The sequence below is a fragment of the Homo sapiens genome, chromosome 1, assembly GCF_000001405.40.
Source record: "Homo sapiens chromosome 1, GRCh38.p14 Primary Assembly".
Lineage (NCBI taxonomy): Eukaryota > Metazoa > Chordata > Mammalia > Primates > Hominidae > Homo > Homo sapiens.
Window position 1 is genome coordinate 200462813 of NC_000001.11, and position 22061 is coordinate 200484873.

General features: G+C 40.6%; 2 long non-coding RNA genes across 2 annotated transcripts; one reads left to right on the forward strand and one right to left on the reverse strand.

Moving 5' to 3' along the window:
- Positions 1–840: 840 nt before the first annotated feature.
- Positions 841–20694, reverse strand: LOC124900414 (uncharacterized). Its single transcript, XR_007066784.1, has 3 exons — positions 20290–20694; positions 15201–15342; positions 841–2754 (listed from the first exon to the last, which is right to left on the reverse strand). It is a non-coding gene; the product is annotated as an uncharacterized LOC124900414 (long non-coding RNA).
- On the forward strand, positions 11178–19234 carry LOC124904480 (uncharacterized). The gene is made up of 2 exons (XR_007066783.1): positions 11178–11288; positions 15156–19234. It is a non-coding gene; the product is annotated as an uncharacterized LOC124904480 (long non-coding RNA).
- Positions 20695–22061: the final 1367 nt, after the last annotated feature.

The following is a 22061-nucleotide window of genomic DNA, read 5'->3' on the forward strand; positions in this document are numbered from 1 at the left end:
TAAGCTTAACATTATGGTAATGTTCATGAATAGATTACAGAACAGTTAGAAAAAATTTTAGCTAAATACCTTAACATTTTTCAGAAAATGCTTCTAGATTTTGCTAGAATTGGATCAATGAGTTATTTCTGAGCATAAATGACATGCGGTGCTAATTGTATTCCTGACATAAAATGTCCTCAAGTTTTCTTTGGCCAATGGACTAAGAACAAGGAGCCTGCCTTACATTTCACAGATCTAAATAATAATTTGATGGTTAGCTCATTACAGGGAATGTGGTAGTGTAAAACAGCCATAGTACATCTATCCCGGAATTTTAGGGTTCCTATAGAATCCCTCCATGATTTGTTTATGATGTAGAGATGATTGACTCTGTCAGTTACTAATAAATGGTAAATAAAAAAGTAACCTGTGATATTAAAGTACTACATTAGCTACATTGTGATTAAATTACAGTAACACCACCAGCTATAAAGCTTTATAGAATCTTCTCAACCATGCAGTAATTCTCCTAACTATACTATTATGTAGAGCACAAATATTTCTTTGTAAGTCCAAAGCAATACATCAGGGAAGCGTTTACTGCTGAAGCTAGATTGAGAGTAAATGCATCTTGGGTTGCTATGAATAAAAGCTCTAGCTTCTCATTACTTTATGACAAGACACAGAAATTCACTTTACTTTTCATTTAAGGTTTTCGGCTTCCGTTTATAGATGTATGCCTTCACGCTTTTATTCCCTTCTTGCTTCAGCCGTACGTAATAAATGATTATAAATTTTCACATTTGACCACCTCTCTGCTAGTCTCATGCTTAATGCACAAAGTTAGGAAGCTGCAGGTAAAATTTCACAAACACTTTTATTTATGATGTTGTCCTTGGTAACGGAAATTTCAATGTACTGAAATGAAAAGTATGATTAAAGGGATACGACGTCCTGACAAGGATAGTAGAGGGCAGCCTTCTATTTCCTACTGAAAATATATAATACCTTTTTGACATCAATTTCATAGAGAATAGACATGGGTTAGTCATGGAAAAAAGACACAAACATGTTTCCAACTTCAGTTTTCTTGAATGTTTGCTCTTATAACTTATATTAGAAGTATCTCCTCTGGATTGATGAGCTTGTGAATTGAAAAAAAATTTTTTATCCCAATTAAAATGTAATATGAAGGACTGAACAGAAATTGAGGAAAAATATAATTTGGAACACATGAGTTCTTTTTCTGGAAAGCAAAAGAAGTGGAAAAGTACTAGTTTTTTCAAACCATTTTAATCATTGCAATAACTGATTTTATTATTTTAAATCTCTATGTAGTGAGAAAGAAAGAATCAAGAAAGATTGGAAAAGTTAAAAACGTTCATAAACATAGTTGTTTAGTTTCTTGTGTATTTCCCAAAAATTGCCATTAAGCAAACAAAATGCAACCCTCGTGTGCTTCCTGTTTATAAAGTTAAATATCTTTGAGTATTTGAGGCTATATGATTTCCCCTTTTCCTATCATTTAGGGTGAAAAAGAAATTAAACAATTGGTAGGACTTCCCCTAGTAAAGTCACTTCTCAAATAAAATTCTGCTGCTACAAAGTACAGTTTCTGTGCCTGGAAATTAGAATTGCTTGAGACATACTAGTTTCACCCACAAGTCTTATTCTAGTCTCCTACCAGTTAATAAAATGTGTTATCAGGAGACTTGAGTTCAAGGATCATTATAATTCCTTCAGCCTTGTACTGCCACAGCAGGGCGTGAGAGCTATTTCCTACTCAATGGAAGAAGATATAACATCTTGATTTCAAATCTCTGAAAACAAGATATTGTGGAAACTTTAAAATATATATCCTCTTGATTTCATAGCTATGGAAATAAGAAACTGGAAACTTAGTTTAAATAGCTACAGATTTAGCCAGGATGTGACCAATCTCTGGCATTGATACCTGGATTATCTTTAGGATATTCTGTGTTCCTAGCTTCAATGTCATGAATTCACTCACAATGTATCTACTGAATTTCCACGTTGTGCTGAGCACCATGCCAAGCCCAGGAAGGAGAGAAGACGCACAAAATGCATCAAGCATAGTGCATGTTGCTCAGGAGCATACAGTCTGGCAAAGGAGATAAGACTTGCACACGAATAACTAAAATTACAAATCAGCAAATAATCAGAGCCAGATGAGGAGAGAGAGAAATTCCACGAAATTATGCCGCATGGAAAAGGCCCTGCACAACTGCCATGTGCTGGTTGCTGGGAGTTTGGGTGATCTATTCGTCGGTCTCAGTTCATGGCTTGGGCAGAGGTCAGTAAAGTCAGTAGATTTGAGCGCCGCCAGTTAAGGACCAGGAGCTAAAGCCCCTGCAGTGTCCTTGGTGCCACAGAGTGATCCAGAGCACAGATAGAACAGAAAAGACAGGAAGAAAGAGGAAGAGGGACGGGTCTAGAGAACAGGAGGTAAGACAGCATCAAATGCTCAGTAATGTGCGTGTGATGACACAGGGTGAGTTGAAAAGATCCTTGAAAGACACCATGCCGGTTTTGCATCAGTGAAAATAAGAGGATTTCAAAAGCCTAGGCAGAGGGCTTGCTGTATGCCACACGTCCACAGTCAATTACATTTTTAGGAAAGTATTCTACTCATGCATAGGCTAAAAAAATGTAGTCTGTGTAGCGTTTCAACAACCTCGCAGCTTTCTTCCATAACTGTTCCTACAAATACTTTCTGACAGCTTCCATTTGTTGCTTGGCTATTGCAGAACCCTGAAAAATATATTATGTCTCATGTCAGTTATAAAAATAACACCACAAATTATAACCAAAACAAAATTACCCAGTAATTATCATTTAGATGTCCATTTTAATCCTTTTCAGAGTTACCTTTACTTTAGGAGCCAGACAATTTAACACAAGGCAAGCTGGAGGGGTTTATTTAAATCTTTCTCTTTACCATGTGCTGTGATAATATCTGAAATCTACCTTTCTGAGCACTCTGTGACTGCCTTAATCTCAAGAGCACTTCTAAATACATTGAATACTAACAGCCTTAAATTTGACGAAAATAGGCATAGTAAACATGTGGTGTCAATTATGGGAAAACCCGAACAAAGGTTAGAGGAATAAGAACAGAGCTCACATTTTCTTTTAACTTGTTAATGTCTCTGACCCTTTTGTACAAAAATCACTTTAATCAACATTATATACATTTCATTGTGGCCTTACCATTTAACAGCCTGTAAAAAATGTTTGGCTATCAATTATACACATCAAGTTGATATGCTCCAGGACTGGGGGCCATTTATGCTTGCAATTAGATCTGAGGGGACTTGAGGAGACCCACATGGTTAGCCAGCCCTCCTTTCTCCACCAGACTCAGCTTTTTTGAAGCTTGCAGAGATGAGGAAGCTTAATTAAACTTATCGGAGATCTCTTTTTCCATCCTAGAAATTGGAGAGCCATGATCATAGGTATAGAGATGTTGAAATCTAGGTCCTTCTTTCTTCTCCTCTTATACCATCCCCTCTCCCATGTACTCACATAGCCACAGTCACATACACATGCAGATTTTAGTCAAACAAATTTGTTAAAAATAGATTCTTAGACCAGCCACGGTGGCTCACACCTGTAACCTCAGTACTTTGCAGGCGGATGGTGGAGATTACTTGAGGCCAGGAGTTTGAGACCAGCCTGGGCAAATAGGTAGACCACATCTCAGAAATAAATAAAAAGCAAAAAATAAAAATAAGTAGATTCTTGACTTGCTTTGGGTCTCATCAGAAGCCAAAACAATCATCCAAGTCTAAGTATGGCCACTGATGTCTGCAGTGCTGGTGTGAGAGATTGGGTCAGTGCACACCAATTCTCCACCCATAATCACAAATCAGAGGCCACACCATGGCTTCCAGCCTCCTAATCCTGTATAAAAGTTGATGGGGTGTGCAATCTAAAATGATAAGAAAAGATTCTCAATTAAGCGGTCTTGAACTGGTGCAGTTTCAGACCCAACTCAACAACCCCAGATCTTCTTTAGCAATCCACAGAGAAGAAGGATTAATGTTCAGCTGTGCTAACAAATATTTTAAATGGTGTTCTACATACATCTGAGGGCTACGAAGGTTAGCACTCCAAAGCAGGTAAATATTTGGCTTCTTTTATTTTACTTCATGGATTCTTCCTTTCCTTTCCTTCCCTGCAACCTCATACTCTGAGATAAGAGGACCCAGCCACTGGATCTCAAAGCAAATGTTAAAATACCACTCCCTCCACATTCATTCAGCCACTCAAATATTTAATTAGTGTCTATCATATCTAAGGCATTATGCTAGGTACTGTTTTCAATTTAGTACGAGTACTTTTTATAATACAATATTCCACAGACAGTGTGTTAGAGTCAAATTCATCTTTACATGATGTAGTACCAAATTCCAAAAAAAGAACTTCCCTTTTAGATTGGGCAGTCTGAGGAATTAGGGAAAAAAAAAAAAACATCTCCAAATATCAGTTCGGAGGAGCCATCCACTCTTCAACCTTACAGGAGGCGGGGAAGGTGGGATTTTGATGTTCACAAGCCCATTAAGACAATTTTCAAATGCCATGGCTTGGCTGATACATAGAACATTAAGAATATTTTGAGGCAGTCTGCTGTGTGCAAGGAGCATCTATTTTAATTGGTGCATTTTGATGGTAACAATGTTGTAGTCTATGGTCTCTTCCTCCGTGTGTTCACGTGTTAAAATAAATAGTGGTGTACATAGCAAGGGAAGGCGAGAAAACATATTGCCATATCTTTATTAATATTCTACTATTGTATGATCTTAGCACTTTTTGGCTTTGCTCCTGAAAGCATGTTTTCTTCTTGTGCTTGTTCCTGAGGCAGTGTTCAACATACTAGACTAATGAATAAGTCATTATTTATTGGAAGTCTTTGTATATATGAATCGGAAATACTACTTCCCATCTAAAGATCTAATTGTGTATCTCTTGTGGAGGTAAATACCCATATAGATCAATTTTTTATTAAAAATGGGTATATTTTGTTTAAGGGAGCATTTTAAAAATATCATTTCTATTTGTAGACCCAACTGTTAACTATTTATTAAAATGTCAACGTCTAAAAGTCTCACATAGGTATAGTCTCCTACTCATACCCTCCTGGGCTTAAAATAGGTCTATGCATCCCCAAAACTACCTAAGAAAATGGGAGACACTCGTTGAAAAATATTAGCATGTCTGCTTTCTGGTTTAATACTGGTTAGTTTTTGAAGTTCAGTAAAATTTTGATGTTCAGTAAAAATGCAGTAATCACATATTTGTTGATTAGATTTTATTATAAACAATACTTCATGGTTTTATGAAGTGTTACAAATTGCCTATAAATGAACTTGGACTATTTTAATTGGTTTAAGAAGAGCCAAAAGGAAGAAAGTTTGGATTCATTTTTAAAATCTGAAAATATGTGGTGATAGAAACAAGGAAGAAAAGGAAGTTTCTTGGTTCTTTTCTCCACTCCAGGAGAGATGAAGCATATGCATGAGTTATTACAATGCATTGATCTGACTCCAACCTGAAGTTACCAAGGTTTTATAAGGCTGCAATAAAGCTTTCTTTGCATTAACCAGCCAAGCACATAAACATTTTAATGAACTGTTTTTACATGGTTCATTGGGCAGCTACCAGGCTACTATAATACAAATCACCACTCCGCCACATCCAGCTTTCTCATGATGGCTGTACTTTTTTCAGCTTACCAAATGCAAATTGAATATCACAGCTATGGAGCTTAATCAAATATTTGACTATTCGAGCATAGGAAATTCTCAAGCCCAGAATTTACTGTATTCTAGGATAGTCTATTCAAAGAACTGAATCTTAGAGAATTTTTACTCTCGAGCTTCTAAACCAAAAGTGAAGTTTATTGTGATAATCATTTGAGACCACTAAAAAATAAGATCCTCAAAGTCACCACTCTGTGTTAAAATGGTTTTAGGCAATGAATGACAGTGTGGCTATGAGAAGCAAGTAGCTGAATCATCATTAGTCACAGAAGAGATGGTATCCCCAAACTGATATTTCTCTTAGTGACCTGAAGGCTTGAATGAATTATTGAACTCAATACCAATGCAGATCAAATCTCCTTGGAATAATTAAGGATCATTACTGACAAACATTTGTGTACGTTCTAGTCAACACTTAAAGTAACACTAAATTATAAAATATCATGTATTCTGAGAGCTTCATGACATTGTATTTTTAAGATTAAAGATTAGCCCAACACATAATTTAATAATGAATGCAAATTATAAATGAATATTTAACAAACCATACCACATTTTATGTCTTAACATCTGTTCTGCCAGTGGTATGACTGAATGAAAAATGGCTCCATGATGTATTGTCCTGCTGCCTAATGCTCCAGTGGAAACAAGGTGTTTTCACCTTGATGCGGCCTTTAAAATAAATTAATTTGTTAACATTTAAAAATGCAGTGTAACCGATGACATAAAACATTCATAAGACAGTTTATGACCCAACCAACCATGTTCTAATCCAATAATATTTATTAAAACATTTTATTTGACTAATCATTTCATGGCCAAGATTTGGAAATGTTTGTTTTTCAGGTTGAGTCAAAGATTTAAATGGTTCTAATGGCACCATAAAGATGTTATATGGTGTTAATATAACTTGAGTATTAAAAATATAATGAATTTGCTATTTATGAACCATTAAGTTTTGCCTCACCCCCAGCATAAATTTTATATCATTACAGACCTATTAATACATCTTCCCTAGGATATACACATTCACAAGCCAAATTTATAGATACATAAAGATATGTCAGAATTTTTTTTTTATTCTGGAAAGTGTGTTTGCATTGAACAGAGGATATAAAATGGTGCTTTTTTCACTTTAAGTTTTCTTCATAGTTATCACCTTAGTGTTTCTAAGCTAGGAATCACTCCATATATTAATAAAACATGGGTCAGATAAGCAACTTCATTCTAGTAGAAGTTTTTAACTCCTCTGCTAACTTAAAACCAGGCGAGAAAGCTTTCTTTCTTATTTCTTATTGAAAATTAAAGAATGTTAGATTTTTCCAGCTAAGCACACCATTTAAACTTAGCAATTCTGGGACTATAACATAGTTATTCTAGCTTTTAAAACATTTGTATATACAAACATATTTGCCAGTAAGACATTGGAGATATTCTCAAAATCCAGCTATGGAGTAACTCTGGACCATCTGCTAGATAGAATATTATGTAAACATTAAAAATCTTGTTTTTGAAAGTGAAATAAGCTAGGAACAGAAAGTTAAGCACCATGTATTCTCACTCATATATGGAAGCTTAAAAAAAAAAGTTGATCTCACTGAAGTAAAAAGTAGAAAAGAGGCTACTAGAGGCTGGGAAGGGGCGGGAGAAGGGCAGTATAGAAAGAGATTTGTTAAAGGACACAAAATTACAGCTAGATAGGAGGAATAAGTTCTAGTGTTCTCTAGCACTGTAGAATGACTATAGTTAATAATAATATATAGAATTCAAATATCTAGAAGGAGGATATTAAGTGTTCCCAATACAAACAGATGATGAATGTTTGAGATGCTGGATATGCTAATTATCCTGATTTGATCACTATACATCATGTATAATCACCTCCCTATGTACTCCATAAATATGCATGATTATTATGTGTCAATTAAAAAAAAATTTTTTTTGAGACGGAGTTTCACTCTTGTTGCCCAGGCTGGAGTGTCGTGGCACGATCTTGGCTCACTGCAACCTCCATCTCCTGGGTTCAAGCAATTCTCCTGCCTCAGCCTCCCAAGTAGCTGGGATTACAGGCACCCGCCACCATGCCCAGCTAATTTTTTGTATTTTTAGTAGAGATGGGGTTTTCACCATGTTGGCCAGGCTGGTCTCAAACTCCTGACCTCAGGTAATTCACCCGCCTCAGCCTCTCAAAGTGTTGGGGTTACAGGCATGAGCCACCACGCTGACCTAAAAAAATTTTTTAATCTTGTCTTTGAATTATACTTAAGACCATAGCAAATGCATATTCTAAGCTAATCATATTAATTCAAATTCAAACAGATATAACACTAGGGCCGAGTGAGGTGGCTCATGCCTGTAATCCCAACACTTTGGGAGGCTGAGGAGGGTGTATTGCTTGAGCCCAGGAGTTCGGGCCAGGTTTGGCAACATGGCCATCTCTATAAAAAATACAAACATTAACCAGGTGTGGTGGCATGGGCCTGTAGTCCCAGATACTTGGGAAGCTGAGGTAGGAAGATCACTTGAGCCCAGGAGATGTAAGTTGCAGTAAGTTGTGATCACACCACTGCACTCCTGCCTGGGTGACAGAGCAAGAGCCTGTCGCCAAAAAAAAAAAAAAAAAAAAAAAAGATATAGCACTAAAGAGAAAGAAAAAGTAGGGCAGGACATTGAATCTGGTGCTTGAGGAGAACTACGTAAAAGTAAAACAAAGTTCTAAAATAAGATGACAATAAAAAGAAAGTTTGAGTAGTTGCTATTATTATCAATGAGATCATATATGAAGTTGGTTTTTTTTTGTTTGTTTGTTTTGTTTCTTTTTTTGTTTGAGATAGGCTCTCACTCTGTTACCCAGCCTGGAGTACAGTGGCACAATCATGGCTCACTGCAGCCTCAACCAACTGGGCTCTGATATCCCACCTCAGCCTCCCGGGCAGCTGAGGCTACAGTCAGTCATACACCACCATGCCCAGTTAATTTTTTGTATTTTTTGTAGAGATGGGTTTTCACCATGTTGCTCAGGCTAGTCTCAAACTCCTGGGCTCAAGTGATCCAAACATCTCAGCCTCCCAAAGTGCTGGGATTACAGGCATGAGCCACTGTACCTGTCCCCATATATGTAGTTTATAAAATAATTAAAAACAAAATATTTTTAAAGATAAAGAGTTTGAATTAATACTGCTAGCTTAGAATATGCATTTTCTTCACTCTTCTGCTTTCCCTGCAGTGTATGGAGATAGTCTGAATTTAGACATGATGTTTACATATTATTGTTCTTAGGGTAACTCTTTCACTGGTATTATGTAAAATTGCATCTGTCCCAAAATGAAAGTGGAAAGTCACTGTAATAAAGAGAATGATAGGGTGACATCATCAGGCATCATAAAAAGGATCATCTTAATTGTCGTGCACTTGTTCATTTCAAGACCACATTTATCGGCCATTTGTTTTTCCTTTCCTACAGTCTCTCTCTGCTGCTGTTCTCCCTCCTCCAGATATTTTCATTTCTTCTGCAAAGTGGAGGACTAAAACTGCAGTTTTAGGTGATTTTCAACTTACATAATCTTTCTTCAAGGTTTTTCTCAGGTTTACCCTATACTTGCCTATGATAAAAGATTCCCTCAGTTCATAAGAGGATGGATGAAGTGGGGGCTGATGGGAGGGAAGGATCCAGGTATTTTTCAGATTTTCTTTAAACAGGAGAAGTAGAAACTTGCTGTGCTGATGAACATTTTAGCTTGGTTCCTATAAAGGCAACAGAGATCTCGTGGGATTCTTGGGAGAACTGAGGGAAGTTAATGCAGGTAAAGCACATGGAACCAGGCAAGCTTCCTGGTAAGTGCTCAGTAAATACTACCCAGCATCTTCTGCATAATCACCAATATCAGCAGTTGCTGCTTTTTTTTTCCTTGCCTGCAAGATCAAAAAGGAAATCACAGTCTCGCCCCCAAAACGCTAGAATTTTTCCCTGATTCTCTGTCATAAATTTATTTTCTCTCTAAAGCTCAAACCACTCTAACAATGAAATTCTGTGCTTTAAAAATTCAAGCGAATGAGCAGATTTTAACAATTACAATTGCAAAAAGTTGGATGCTTTTCCAGAAGTGCTTATAAAACTGGTAAGCAAAGGAGATAGATAAAATCAAAACAAAAGATCTGTTCTCATCACGTTTAGTAAGAGCAATGCTGGCTTTACTGATGACTTCAGTAGTCAGAAACCTGGATGACATTCATCTCCCTCTCCACTACCCCCACTCCCAAAAAGAGGAACACCCACCTGTATCAGAATATCACTGCATCCTGATCTTATTCTCATGCTTCAGTGCCATACCTGATCACACCAGAGCTGTTACTGCTTGTGATTACTCATCCAATATCTATTTTTCACCTTGCAATAGATCCATACAAGGGACAAGGGCAGGGTTTGGCGAGAGAATTTCCTACAAATCCTTAACCTAGGGAAAGCAATACTTTTCAGGTTTAAAGCCAGGGTAGGGTTTGGCCAGGTGCCGGTGGCTCACGCCTTTAATCCCAGCACTTTGGGAGGCTGAGGCGGGCGGATCACAAGGTCAAGAGATCGAAACCATTCTGGCCAACATTGTGAAACTCCGTCTCTACTGAAAATACAAAAATTAGCTGGGCGTGGTGGCACACGCCTGTAGTCCCAGCTACTCAGGAGGCTGAGGCAGGAGAATTGCCTGAACCTGAGAGATGGAGATTGTAGTTAGCCAAGATTGCGCCACTGCACTCCAGCCTGGGCAACAGAGTGAGACTGTCTCCAAAAAAAAGAAAAAAAAAAAAGTCATGGCAGAGTTTGACAGATGGGGCCGCCAATTTCTATCAAAGCTTATCAGCTGTGGGAGTCACAACAGGATGGTGTCAACCCCAGGATATCAGGTCCCAGATGAAACCCAACTTTCTTTGCTGTTTCAGAAGCCACCTAGAAAGTAGAAATGGGAAGCAAATTCACTAATTCCCCCTTGTCAGTTAGCAAACTTTCTAAATGCTTTTTGTGTGCCCTTGAATTTGGACATCCCCTTTTCTACAGTCAGCCTGGAACATTTATAAAGTGGAAGCCACTGAACTGTCTAAAGGCCTTTAGAAAATTGTCTAAGCATCTTTGCAATTGCCTCTTTTCTTCCAACCCTACCCCCACCTGACCCCTTGGATGTGGACCACACATACGATGCTATGCCATAAGCATCAAACATTTCCCACTTGTGATTTTATGCCAAATCATAACCATGATTCAGAACACTAAAGTGCTCTGTTTCATTCTAACCTAGTTTCCTGTAAACTACATACAGTGATAGTTTCTTTTTTGTTTTTCAGAGTGGAGGAAGAAGAGAATCACCACATATCGTATTTAGAGGTCCTGCAGAAAGGGCAGAGCGAGTTTCATGTTTGAGTGCAGCGGATGCATGGGCAAAGCATTACACAGCCGCTCCATGGAAGTGACAATGAGCCTTGTCTTTCACACGTAACTCCAGGAACCAGGGGAAACAAAACCAATTCCACCCAGAGGTACAGACAAAGAAGAGCACCCTCCCAAAGGAGCCCGCATGATAAGTGGCCACGGCGAACATCACTGTGATCAGTCAGAAAGGCAGGCGAGTTATTAGCTTAGCCCTGAACCTCCTACTTAATGTAGAACCAGTGGTGATGGTTAACAGACCCTGGCTGCAGTGACAAGCCTGGGACCTGCTCGAGGAAATCCAATTGAAAAGCAGCCAAGAGGAACAACAAGCTAGAAACAGATGTTCCAGCTACCAGGATGTGCACGCATTTAACCTGAACATGTAGTTGGGGTGGGATGGTAGCATTCGTTTCTAAATATAGTGATTTCACTTCTTCCCCCATATAGATATTGTCAAGTTTAATTATAGCCATCCACATTAGTTTTGTCAAATTTTCAGCAATTTCTTTAAAATAAGAAGATGTCAGAATGATAACTGCTATTAAGGGAATTCAGGGTGTTTGGTTTATCTACCCAGTCTTACTAAAACATTTCAGTTAAATCATCCACTCTTAAACTCCAGTCTCATAGCAATTAAAAATTATCTTTTAAAAAATTGCCCAAATGAAATTCCAACAGTTCATGTAATTATTTGATTTAATATTACCATGTTAGTAAAATATCTTTAAGATAGTTATATTTTCATGAGTCACTTTCTTAGTCACTTCTAGTTCCTAAATAGGGGAGTTTGGGTTGACAGAGGTGTGATAACCATGCGAACAGGGGCTAGAATATAAGCTTAACAGAATCAGTTAATTAGATTTGGAAGAGAGTTGAGTCTTGTGAACCACAGTGATATGTCATGTACATTAGGAAACATTCTCCTTTACGTCAACACAATTCTGGTTTTCTCTAATGGGCTTTATACGAGGAGAGAGACCATCTCACTGTGTTGATTTTTCTCAAGAAAAAAATCAATACTCTCAATGGATTTTAAGTAGATCTAATGTAGTACTGCACTATGCTCATAAGAAGATAAGCATATGTAAAAGATTTTAAAATGTGAATTAATGCATGCCACACTGAAACCAGATCATACCCCACACTCATGTTGTTATTATGTGTACCTAAAGCAAAGAACAGCTGCAGAGTATTTTCTCTGGTAACACTTCATTTTTTATTGGTAGGTTTTAATCCGATACATTTTTGGGGTCACTGAATTCTTATTTGCTTTAGAATGCCCGATTATATCATTCTGCAAAGGATAAAAGGGCTTGAGCCATCATCCTGTGCTGAAATTTATTGAAGGTATTTATGAAGAGGGTGATCTTGAGGAATGCAAGCTTTTAAAATCTAAGAACAGCAGCAAAAATAAATTAATCAGGAATCCATCACTAATTTATACATGAGTCACTTACGAGGAAGGTAAAACGGTTCAGTAAATTATGGATTTACAAATAAACTTGATTCTAGGGCCTTGGAAAATACTTCGATTGGAATATAGATCCATTTTTCCTCAAAACAATTTTCACTTCAACTTCAGATGTAGGGGACATAAAACCAAATCCCCTCTCTGAAAATTCAAGGGGAACTCTTTTCTGGTAACGTGAGGCATGAGTGGTGATGGTTCACAGGGATTCATCTGCTCTCCACAAACTCAGGGGTGGGACCCATCTATCGTTTTTCTAACTCATTCCCATGAATTCTAAATTGTCAACACCTAAGGTTAATGATACCTGTCTTTTTGCTGTCATAAACAGTTAGGGTGGTTTAGCAAGAGATAAATCATCTTTACACAGAGGATTGTGCTATTGTTCTCAGCAAACAAAGGACAAAGCTTATTTCTGTATAATGTTAAACACTGTTCTAATGAAATAGGCTTTTTTTTCTTTTATGCATTAATGAAATTATTAGCCTACAACACATTTCTTTCTTGATTTGGAACATCTGTTCTTCAAAAGTGTGTAGAGTAATAATGGAGAGTTTCTACACATCATGGCTCACTCTCATCTCAAAATATACACTGATTTTTAAGGAATGTGTAGAAGGAAAAGCCAACCATCCTTTTGATTATTGGATTAACCACCAGAGCTGCCTTCATCTGAAACATACTCCACTCGATTGAGGATGATACTTTTAGCTACTAAATAAATACACAGAGGAGGTGTGGAATAACAACTTTACCAAGAATAGCCAACAAGTTCATCTTACAACTACTATGAGCAAAAAGCGTTCATAAAAAATATCTTTTTTTTTTTTTTCTTGAGATGGAGTTTCACTCTTTTTGCCCAGGCTGGAGTGCAGTGGCATGATCCCAGCTCACTGCAACCTCTGCCTCCTGGCTTCAAGAGATTCTCCTGCCTCAGCCTCCAAGTAGCTGGGATTACAGGCACCCACCACCACACCTGGCTAATTTTGTATTTTTAGTAGAGACGGGGTTTTGCCATACTGATCTCGAACTCCTGACCTCATGTGATCCACCCACCTCTGCCTTCCAAAGTGCTGGGATTACAGGCATGACCCACCACGCCTGGCCCAAAAAAATATCAGAAAAAAAAATTGTTTTCACCCCTTTAAATATTAAATAATTGATTTTTTTCTGAAAATATTTCTTATACAATTCAATAAGCACACTAATTTTAGAATGGAGGGTCATTAATGCTGTAACAAAATTGGAAATATTTGCTATTATATGTTTTTAATACACACTAGGTACATATTAAATACTATATCTGTGTAATAGTTAAACATATTAGGTAGTTCATTAGGTTCATTTAAAATTGGCCAAGCTCAGTAGCTCACGCCTGTAATCCCAGCATTTTTGGAGGCTGAGGCAGGCAAATCACTTGAGGTCAGGAGTTCAAGACCTGCCTGGCCAACATGGTGAAACCCCGTCTCTACAGAAAATACAAAAATTAGCTGCGCATGGTGGCATGTGCCTGTGGTCCTAGCTACTTGGGAGGCTGAGGCAGGAGAACTGCTTGAATCCAGGAGGCAGAGGTTGCAGTGAGACGAGACTGTGCACTGCACTCCAGCCTGGGTGACAGAGTTAGACTCCGTCTCAAAAAAATAAAATAATATAATGTAAGGCCAAGGGCTCAGCAACAACGTAATGTAAGGTGCTTAGGTATAATTTTACAATTTTAAGAGAGAATGTGCTTGAGCTAGGAACCATTGAGAGAGAGTAGATGGTGGCAATAGTCAGTCAATTGTGCTACAAATACATTGCAATGGAAAATATACACTACAAAATTTTACAAAAGTAGCAAACAAAAAACTTTTTTTTTTTAATTTTTTTTGACCAAGTCTTGCTCTATCACGCAGGCTGGAGTGCAGTGGCATGATCTCAGCTCACTGCAACCTCTGCCTCCCAGCTTCAAACGATTCTCATGCCTCAGCCTTCCAAGTAGCTGGGACTATAAGCGTGCACCACCACACCCAGCTAATTTTTATATTTTTAGTAGAGACAGGGTTTCTCCATATTGGCCAGGCTGGTCTTGAACTCCTGGACTTGAGTGATCCACCCTCCTCAGCCTTCCAAAGTGCTAGGATTACAGACGTGAGCCACCGCGCCCAGCCGGCAAACAAAAATTTACCTATGATTCAATAAATGGTTTTCCCCTACCAGCCTTCCCCCACCACACATATACACTTTTTCTGATTCTGTTTTACCATAATGATGACACAGGTGCTTAACCAGCTCCGTGAGCTATTGGGGTGGCTCCTTGCCTTGATTTAGTCTTGTGCCCACACACTGACCCATGCAGACTTAGCCATGCATCCAGCACAAATTACGCTATTTTACATGTTTGGTTTAATGTATTCGTACCTGCTAGACATTGTAGCCAAAAGATTGTTTGCTGCCTAATCCTAGCCAGCTCTTAGGGTGACTGCCTAAGCCTGTATTGCTGGCTTCACAAGTTTTTTTGTTTCAGGTAAATAAAAATCAAAGAGCGTTCGAGGCAGCCGCATTGACTCACCTTGCAGACAAGCAAGCAGAGCCGCAGAGCAGTGACCCGTGCCCAGCGCCTCGCAGCTAGAGCTGGATTGGAATCCAGGGCTTTGCAGGCTTCCTGCTTCACTCAATCCTCTTTCTGTTGCCTCTGGCCTCAAGGTGTTGGCCTGGGAGGAAGTAGCAGATTAAATTCCATGGGCACGAAGTCCGTAGCTGACGAATACTTAATATGTTGCAGTTTCACAGTGAAAGTTGGCAAGTCCAGGGTGGGAACATGCCCCAAGCAGCTGAGTCTTCTGGATTTTACTTCTGTTCTTTGCCTCTCAATTTTTGATTTTGTTATATAAAAAGCAAATCAGTAACTATTGCATTATATTCTGCAGTGACTCAACAGCGACACTTAATTCAGCCAACCAAGGTTTACTGAACTGCTCGTGGTGCCGGGAACCGTGCTGGGATAGGATACAGGGACCAACCAGTCCTGATCATTAGCTTAGCCAGAGAGGTAAACTGACTGACAATCAATCTGCCAGGGATCAATTACTATGGAAGCTCATAGTGTGGGCCCCTAACCCAGACTGTGGGTCTGAGGAGGTCTCCTGGAGGTAGTGCTATCCTAACAGAGACCTGAAGGGTACTTGGAATCCAGCCACAGAATACTATTTACCATCTCATTTTACTCTCATGAGAATTCTCCCCACTGTAGGCAGGATGGGTGTTGATTTAAAAGAAAAAAAAAAAAGTAGCCTGGCGGGGTGGCTCACGCCTGTAATCCCAGCACTTTGAGAGGCCAAGGCGGGCAGATCATCTGAGGTCAGGAGTTCGAGACCAGCCTGACCAACATGGAGAAACCCCATCTCTACTAAAAATACAAAATTAGCCGGACATGGTGGTGCATGCCTGTAGTCCCAGCTACTTGGGAGGCTGAGGCAGGAGAATCGCTTGAACCCGGGAGGCAGAGGTTGCGGTGAGCCAAGATCATGCCATTGTACTCCAGCCTGGGCAACAAGAGCGAAACTCCGTCTCAAAAAAAAAGTAAACAGAATAACAAACTTAAGGGTGGCCAGCATTAGAGCTGGAATGGAACCCTGATGTCCAATGAGCTCCCTGTAGAGTGGACTTTGTACAGGACCATGTTCTCCTAAAGTGACTAGAGAGCAGGAGCCACCTGTCACTCAATGCAGCAGCATTGGACCCTCCCAGCCAAACCCCACTCCCACCTCCCATCCTACTGGAGTCTCTTTCCCTTCGTCTTGGTCTACTTGAGTAGATAGGGTCCTCGTTGGTGCAAACAATCTGTGATTTATGACCCAGATAGTCCTGCCAGGTCACAGAGAAGTGTACTCTGCACCCAGCAGTCCTCAAGACAGACTTAGGCTCTCGGTTCCTGCAAGGCACCCCTAGAGGACAGCCTCTCAGCAGTACCCAGCACCCTGCACAGGGCCACTTTTGTAGCCTCCACCTGCCTGCTCACTCCCTTTTTCTCTCCTTGGCCTTCTCCACCCTGAATGCTTGTGCAAGCATGCTCACTCTCCTTCCCCAGCCCCTCTGCACACACTGACACACACTCAGCTCCCAGCTTTCATCCTCTCTCCCACCTCTTGTGGTGAGTTCTGAGCCTCTCCATGGCCATCCTCCCAGCCCAGGCCATCCTCCCAACCCAGCCTCTCCATGGCCATCCTCCCAGCCCAGACCATCCTCCCAGCCCAGCCTCTCCAGCCCATGGCCAGCCTCCCAGCCCAGCCTTTCCATGGCCATCCTCCCAGCCCAGGCCATCCTCCCAGCCTAGCCTCTCCAGCCCGTGACCAGCCTCCCAGCCCAGCCTCTCCAGCCCAGGCCATCTTCCCAGCCCAGCCTCTCTAGCCCATGGCCATCCTCCCAGTCCAGCCTCTCCATGGCCATCTTCCCAGCCCAGCCCCACCTCTCCAGCCCATGGCCATCCCTCCCAGCCCAGGTCAGGCTCTGAGCCCAGGCTCTCCAGCCCATGGCTATACTTCCAGCCCAGCCTCTCCATGGCCATCCTCCCAGCCCAGGCCATTCTCCCAGCCCAGGAGTATTTCTGGAAATGCTCCCAGCCCAGCATTTCCAGAAAAGGAAAATACAGCCAATGCTGAGAGTCTCAAAGGTCACTCAGTTCAGACCTGCAGAAATGTTTTTGTTTTATTTTTTTACTTGGGATCTTTCAACCAGTCAGCCTGATGCTCTTGTTTGATTTCCATGTTTGTTGTAGTGAAATACTGATAATCAAAAAGTTATTCTACATGATGAGCTGTTCCTCCTACTTCTTTACAGTTTCTCCATTTTCCAAAATTTCTACAATCAAGATGTATTGCTTTTATAATCATAAAAAGTTAAAATGTTAACATATTCTGACAGAAATATAGGAATTATTAAGACTTTTTTCTAGGTGGTGGAATTATGGGTAACTGTTTTTTCTTTGTTCTGTATATTTCCAAATCATCTAAAATCAACATATATTGCATTTAGGTTTGTGTGTGAGGGGTTTTTTCCCCCATTTTTAAATTTGTGTGTGGTTTTTTGTTTGTTTGTTTGTTTGTTTTTTTCTTTTTTTCAGATGGGGGATCTTGCTATGTTGTCCAGGCTGGTCTCGAACTCCTAGGCTCAAGCAACCCTCCCATCTCAGCCTCCCAAGCACCTGGTGAGGTTTTTCTCTAAAAAGGAAAAACATGTGGAAGACAATCAGAGATGATTTTTGAGTAATGCAGAACAACTCCAAAAGAATAAGCAGAATGAATGCTCATAAGGTGAAAGCATTTCAGAAAACCTATTACAAGCAACAATGGAAGAAAATTGATTGAAACTGTGCCTACCTTCCCTAACACTCTCCACCTTCATCTGAGGTTTGTGATCCACAGACTCAAGCCATCATGGACCACGTCTTCATAGTCCCACACTATTGTCTGCATGATTTATACAAATGCAAAGCCTACCATTACTTAAATGGTAAAAGAAATACAGGAAGCAGAGACTGTGCTATATCAAAATGTATCTTTCTCTACTACCACTGTTTTGCTTCGTGCTGTGCAGAACTGCCACTAAGCATTTTCATAGTCGAGAGAGCCAGAGACACAGAAAGAGAGAAATTATGGTCAAATTATGGCACCATACCATTAACGTACGAGAGATTGGTGCCGCTAGTGTATGATTACTGCTTTTAATATGATTTTCGCTTTCTATCTTGTAAAATACTGTGAATTTACTGCTGAGCCTGTGTACTGCTACTCTCCCAAAGAGAAAATTACTTCTTCCAGAGGATCTGCTTGCACAAGCGTAAAATCTTTGCAGCTCTCTGAGCAGCAAGAGAACCACATCAGACTTGATATGCTGATTTGGCTCTTTTGAGTTACCTGTTCCAGAGAATTTTGGGCAAGGATTTTTCCAAGATGTCATTTTCTTTATATGTTATTTTCTTTATATTTGTATCCATTCACATCATCAAGTGTCTTATTGAGTACCTCCTAATTGCAAATGATCTTAGTGGCTGCTGTGAGAGACACATGGATTCTAATACAGGGTGCTTGGTTTAGAGAGACTTGTAAGCACCAACTGATATCGAGGGGGAAAACAAGCAGAGGGAACAGGAAGTGCAAAGGCCCTCAGGAAGAAATGAGCAAGGCCAACAGGGCTGGGAAGATGAAGGTAGAGGAGATGAGAATAAAGAGGTGGGTAGGGGTGCGGTCTTGTAACATTTGAGGAGCTGAATTATATTCTAAATGTGATAAGAAGCCATTTGAAAGCTTTGAGCAAGAGAATAAGGGCATCTGATTTTTTTTTTTATCCCTCTAGCTATGAGAATAGGCTATAGGGGACTAAAAGCAGAAGCGAGTAGGCCAGTTAGTAGGACGCAACTGCAGACATTTAGGCTGGAGAAGACAGTGACTTGGACGAGGGTGGTGGTGTGAAGGTCACTGAGGTGTGTGGAGACTGGAAGGCACAGAGTCAGAGGACTTGTCTTCTAACTCCATGATACTGCTCCAGATGATGAACAGGCACTCAGAAGGAACCCAATAAACATGTCTTCCTGAATGTATGGCTGAATGAAGAGTACCGACCCCCTCACTTATAAGTAGGAGCTAAGTTATGAGTATAAAAAGGCGTAAGAATGAGATAATGGGCTTTGGGGATTCAGGGGGAAAGGGGTGAGGGAGGTGAGGAATAAAAAACAACACACTGGGTACAGCATATACTGCTCAGGTGACAGGTGCAGCAAAATCTCAGAAATCACCACTAAAGAACTGATCCATGGAACAAAAAAATCACCTGTTCCCCAAAAACTATTGAAAATTAAAAAAAAAAATTAAGCAACCGAATAGGAATGCTCCACTGATTGTAGATATTTTCTTTCTTTCTTTCTTTTTTTTTTTTTTTTTTGAGATGGAGTTTCACTCTTGTCGCCCAGATTGGAATGCAGGGGCACGATCTCAGCTCACCACAACCTTCGCCTCCCAGGTTCAAGCGATTCTCCTGCCTCAGCCTCCCGAGTAGCTGGGATTACAGGCATGTGCCACTACGTCTGGCTAATTTTGTATTAGTAGAGATGGGGTTTCTCCATGTTGGTCAGGCTGGTGTCGAACTCCCGACCTCAGGTGATCCGCCCACCTCGGCCTCCCAAAAGTGCTGGGATTACAGGCACGAGCCACCGCGCACGGCCTTTTTTTTTTTTTTTTTTTTTTTTTTTTTTTTTTTTTTTGAGTTGGAGTTTCGATCTTGTTGCCCAGGCTGAAGTGCAATGGCGCGATCTCAGCTAACGGCAGCCTCCGCCTCCTGGGTTCAAGCAATTATCCAGCCTCAGCTTCCCGAGCAGCTAGGATTACAGGCACCTGCCACCACACCCAGCTAAAAAAAATTTTTTTAAGAGACGTGGTCTCGCTATGTTGCCCAGGTTGGTCTCAAACTCCTAGGCTCAAGCGATCCGCCCACCTCAGCCTCCAAAGTGCTGGGATTACAGCCATGAGCCACCGCGCCCAGCCTCTGTTTGTAGATATTTTAATTAGAGAAAAATATAAAATTTCAAGCCCATCAACCAGTTCTGCTCTATAATAATCAAAAACTATCTTTGCAATAAAAAAAGTTATAAAAAAAAAAGTACTTACCCCTAGAATCACTCTCAAATGTAAGATCAGGGAACTCCCTCTAGACTCAAGGGTGCCTGAGAGGCCACGTGGTTTTTAGACTCTCCTGGTTCAGCTTCACCACCTGATGCTCTTCCCTTCCACCTAGAGCTTTTCGCAGCCCACAAAAGATGTGCTCCATGATTCCAAAACAGAAAGGCTTCTGGTTAGGAGAGAACACTAAGGCAGCAAAGTAAGCCCTCAATCAAAATCCCTCATTCACTAGCACTCTTTAGAAGTAGAAATCATTGGGACGCCCAAATGCTTCTGAAAAAGTTCTGTGGTGCATCCAAAGATCATCCCAGTAGTTTGTTTGCCTTAAAAGTATTTGTTAAAACATAAAAACTGTATGTCTACGTAAGTGATTTTCAATCCTAGCTGCATATTAAAAATCCCTGAAGAGCCTTTAGAATAGGCCAGCCTTCAGGCTCCACCCCATTCCAAGTCCATCAGAATCTCTGGCATGAGGTCCTGGCATCGGTAGTATTTAAAAGCTCCCAGGTGATTCTTATGTGCGTCAGGGTGGAGGGGCACTGCTGTATGTGAAGTGAGTCATTTTCCTATCTGCCCTTCACCGCAGGACATGAGTAATCCTGTGAACCAGCCACAGCTGATGACAGTGTTCAGCATTCTACATGGAGCTCAAATCCCCCAACCCCTCCTTTTAAGCGCTTGAAAGAATTGCTCAGAAAACTTATACTACAAATATATTTTAAAATTTAGGGCTTAGGAGTGGACTGCCCCCAGTAGCTCAACGTTTTATTACTCCTGCCTTAGTCACCCATTTCTTCTTTCTCTCTGCCTTGCTCTTTCTCTTCTCCTCCCCCTGCTGTCCCTCCCACTCTCTTCCATCAACCTGCCCTTAGCACTGTAGGCAGGCTGCCCACCTGGAGGCTCCAGGCTGCAGAGATCAGCCCTTAGGAGAAGGTCTGGATAAAAAGTGGAACTTGTGGAAAGGGCATATCATTTATAAAATTTCTTGCTTTACTGCAAAAATGTGTGCTTCACTGCTTTGGAAAACAGTCTGGCAGTTCTTCAAAAGGTAAAACATGGAGCCAGGCATGGTGGCTTACGCCTACGATCCCAGCACTTTGGAAGGCTGAGGCAAGGGATTGCTTGGGAGTTGGGAGTTGCAGTGAGCTATGAGTTTGGGTGCAGTGGGTACAACGTATGCCTGCTCGGGGAACAGGTGCACTAAAACATCAGAAATCATCGCTAAAGAACATACCCACACAACAAAAAAATCACCTGCTCCCCAAAAACAATTGAAAACATAAAATAAAAAATATAGCAACCCAATAGGTATACTCCACTGATTGTTTGTAGATATTTTGTTTTTGTTTTTGTTTTTGTTTTTTTGAGATGGAGTCTCCCTCTGTCATCCAGGCTGGAGTGCAGTGGCATGATCTCGGCTCACTGCAACCTCTGCCTCCCAGGTTCAAGCGATTCTCCTGCCTCAGACTCCAGAATAGTTGGGACTACAGGCACGTGCCAACACGCCCGGCTAATTTTGTATTTTTAATAGAGACAGGGTTTCACCGTATTGGCCAAGCTGGTCTCAAAGTCCTAACCTCAAGTGATCCATCCACCTCTGCCTCCCAGGGCACCCAGCCTCTTTTTTTTGTTTGTTTGTTTTTTTAGAAACGTGGTCTGTCTATGTTGCCCAGGGTAGGTCTCCAAGTCCTGGGCTGAAGCAATCTGCCCACCTCCACCTCCCAAAGTGCTGGAATTAGGGAGGGAGTTTGAGGTTGCAG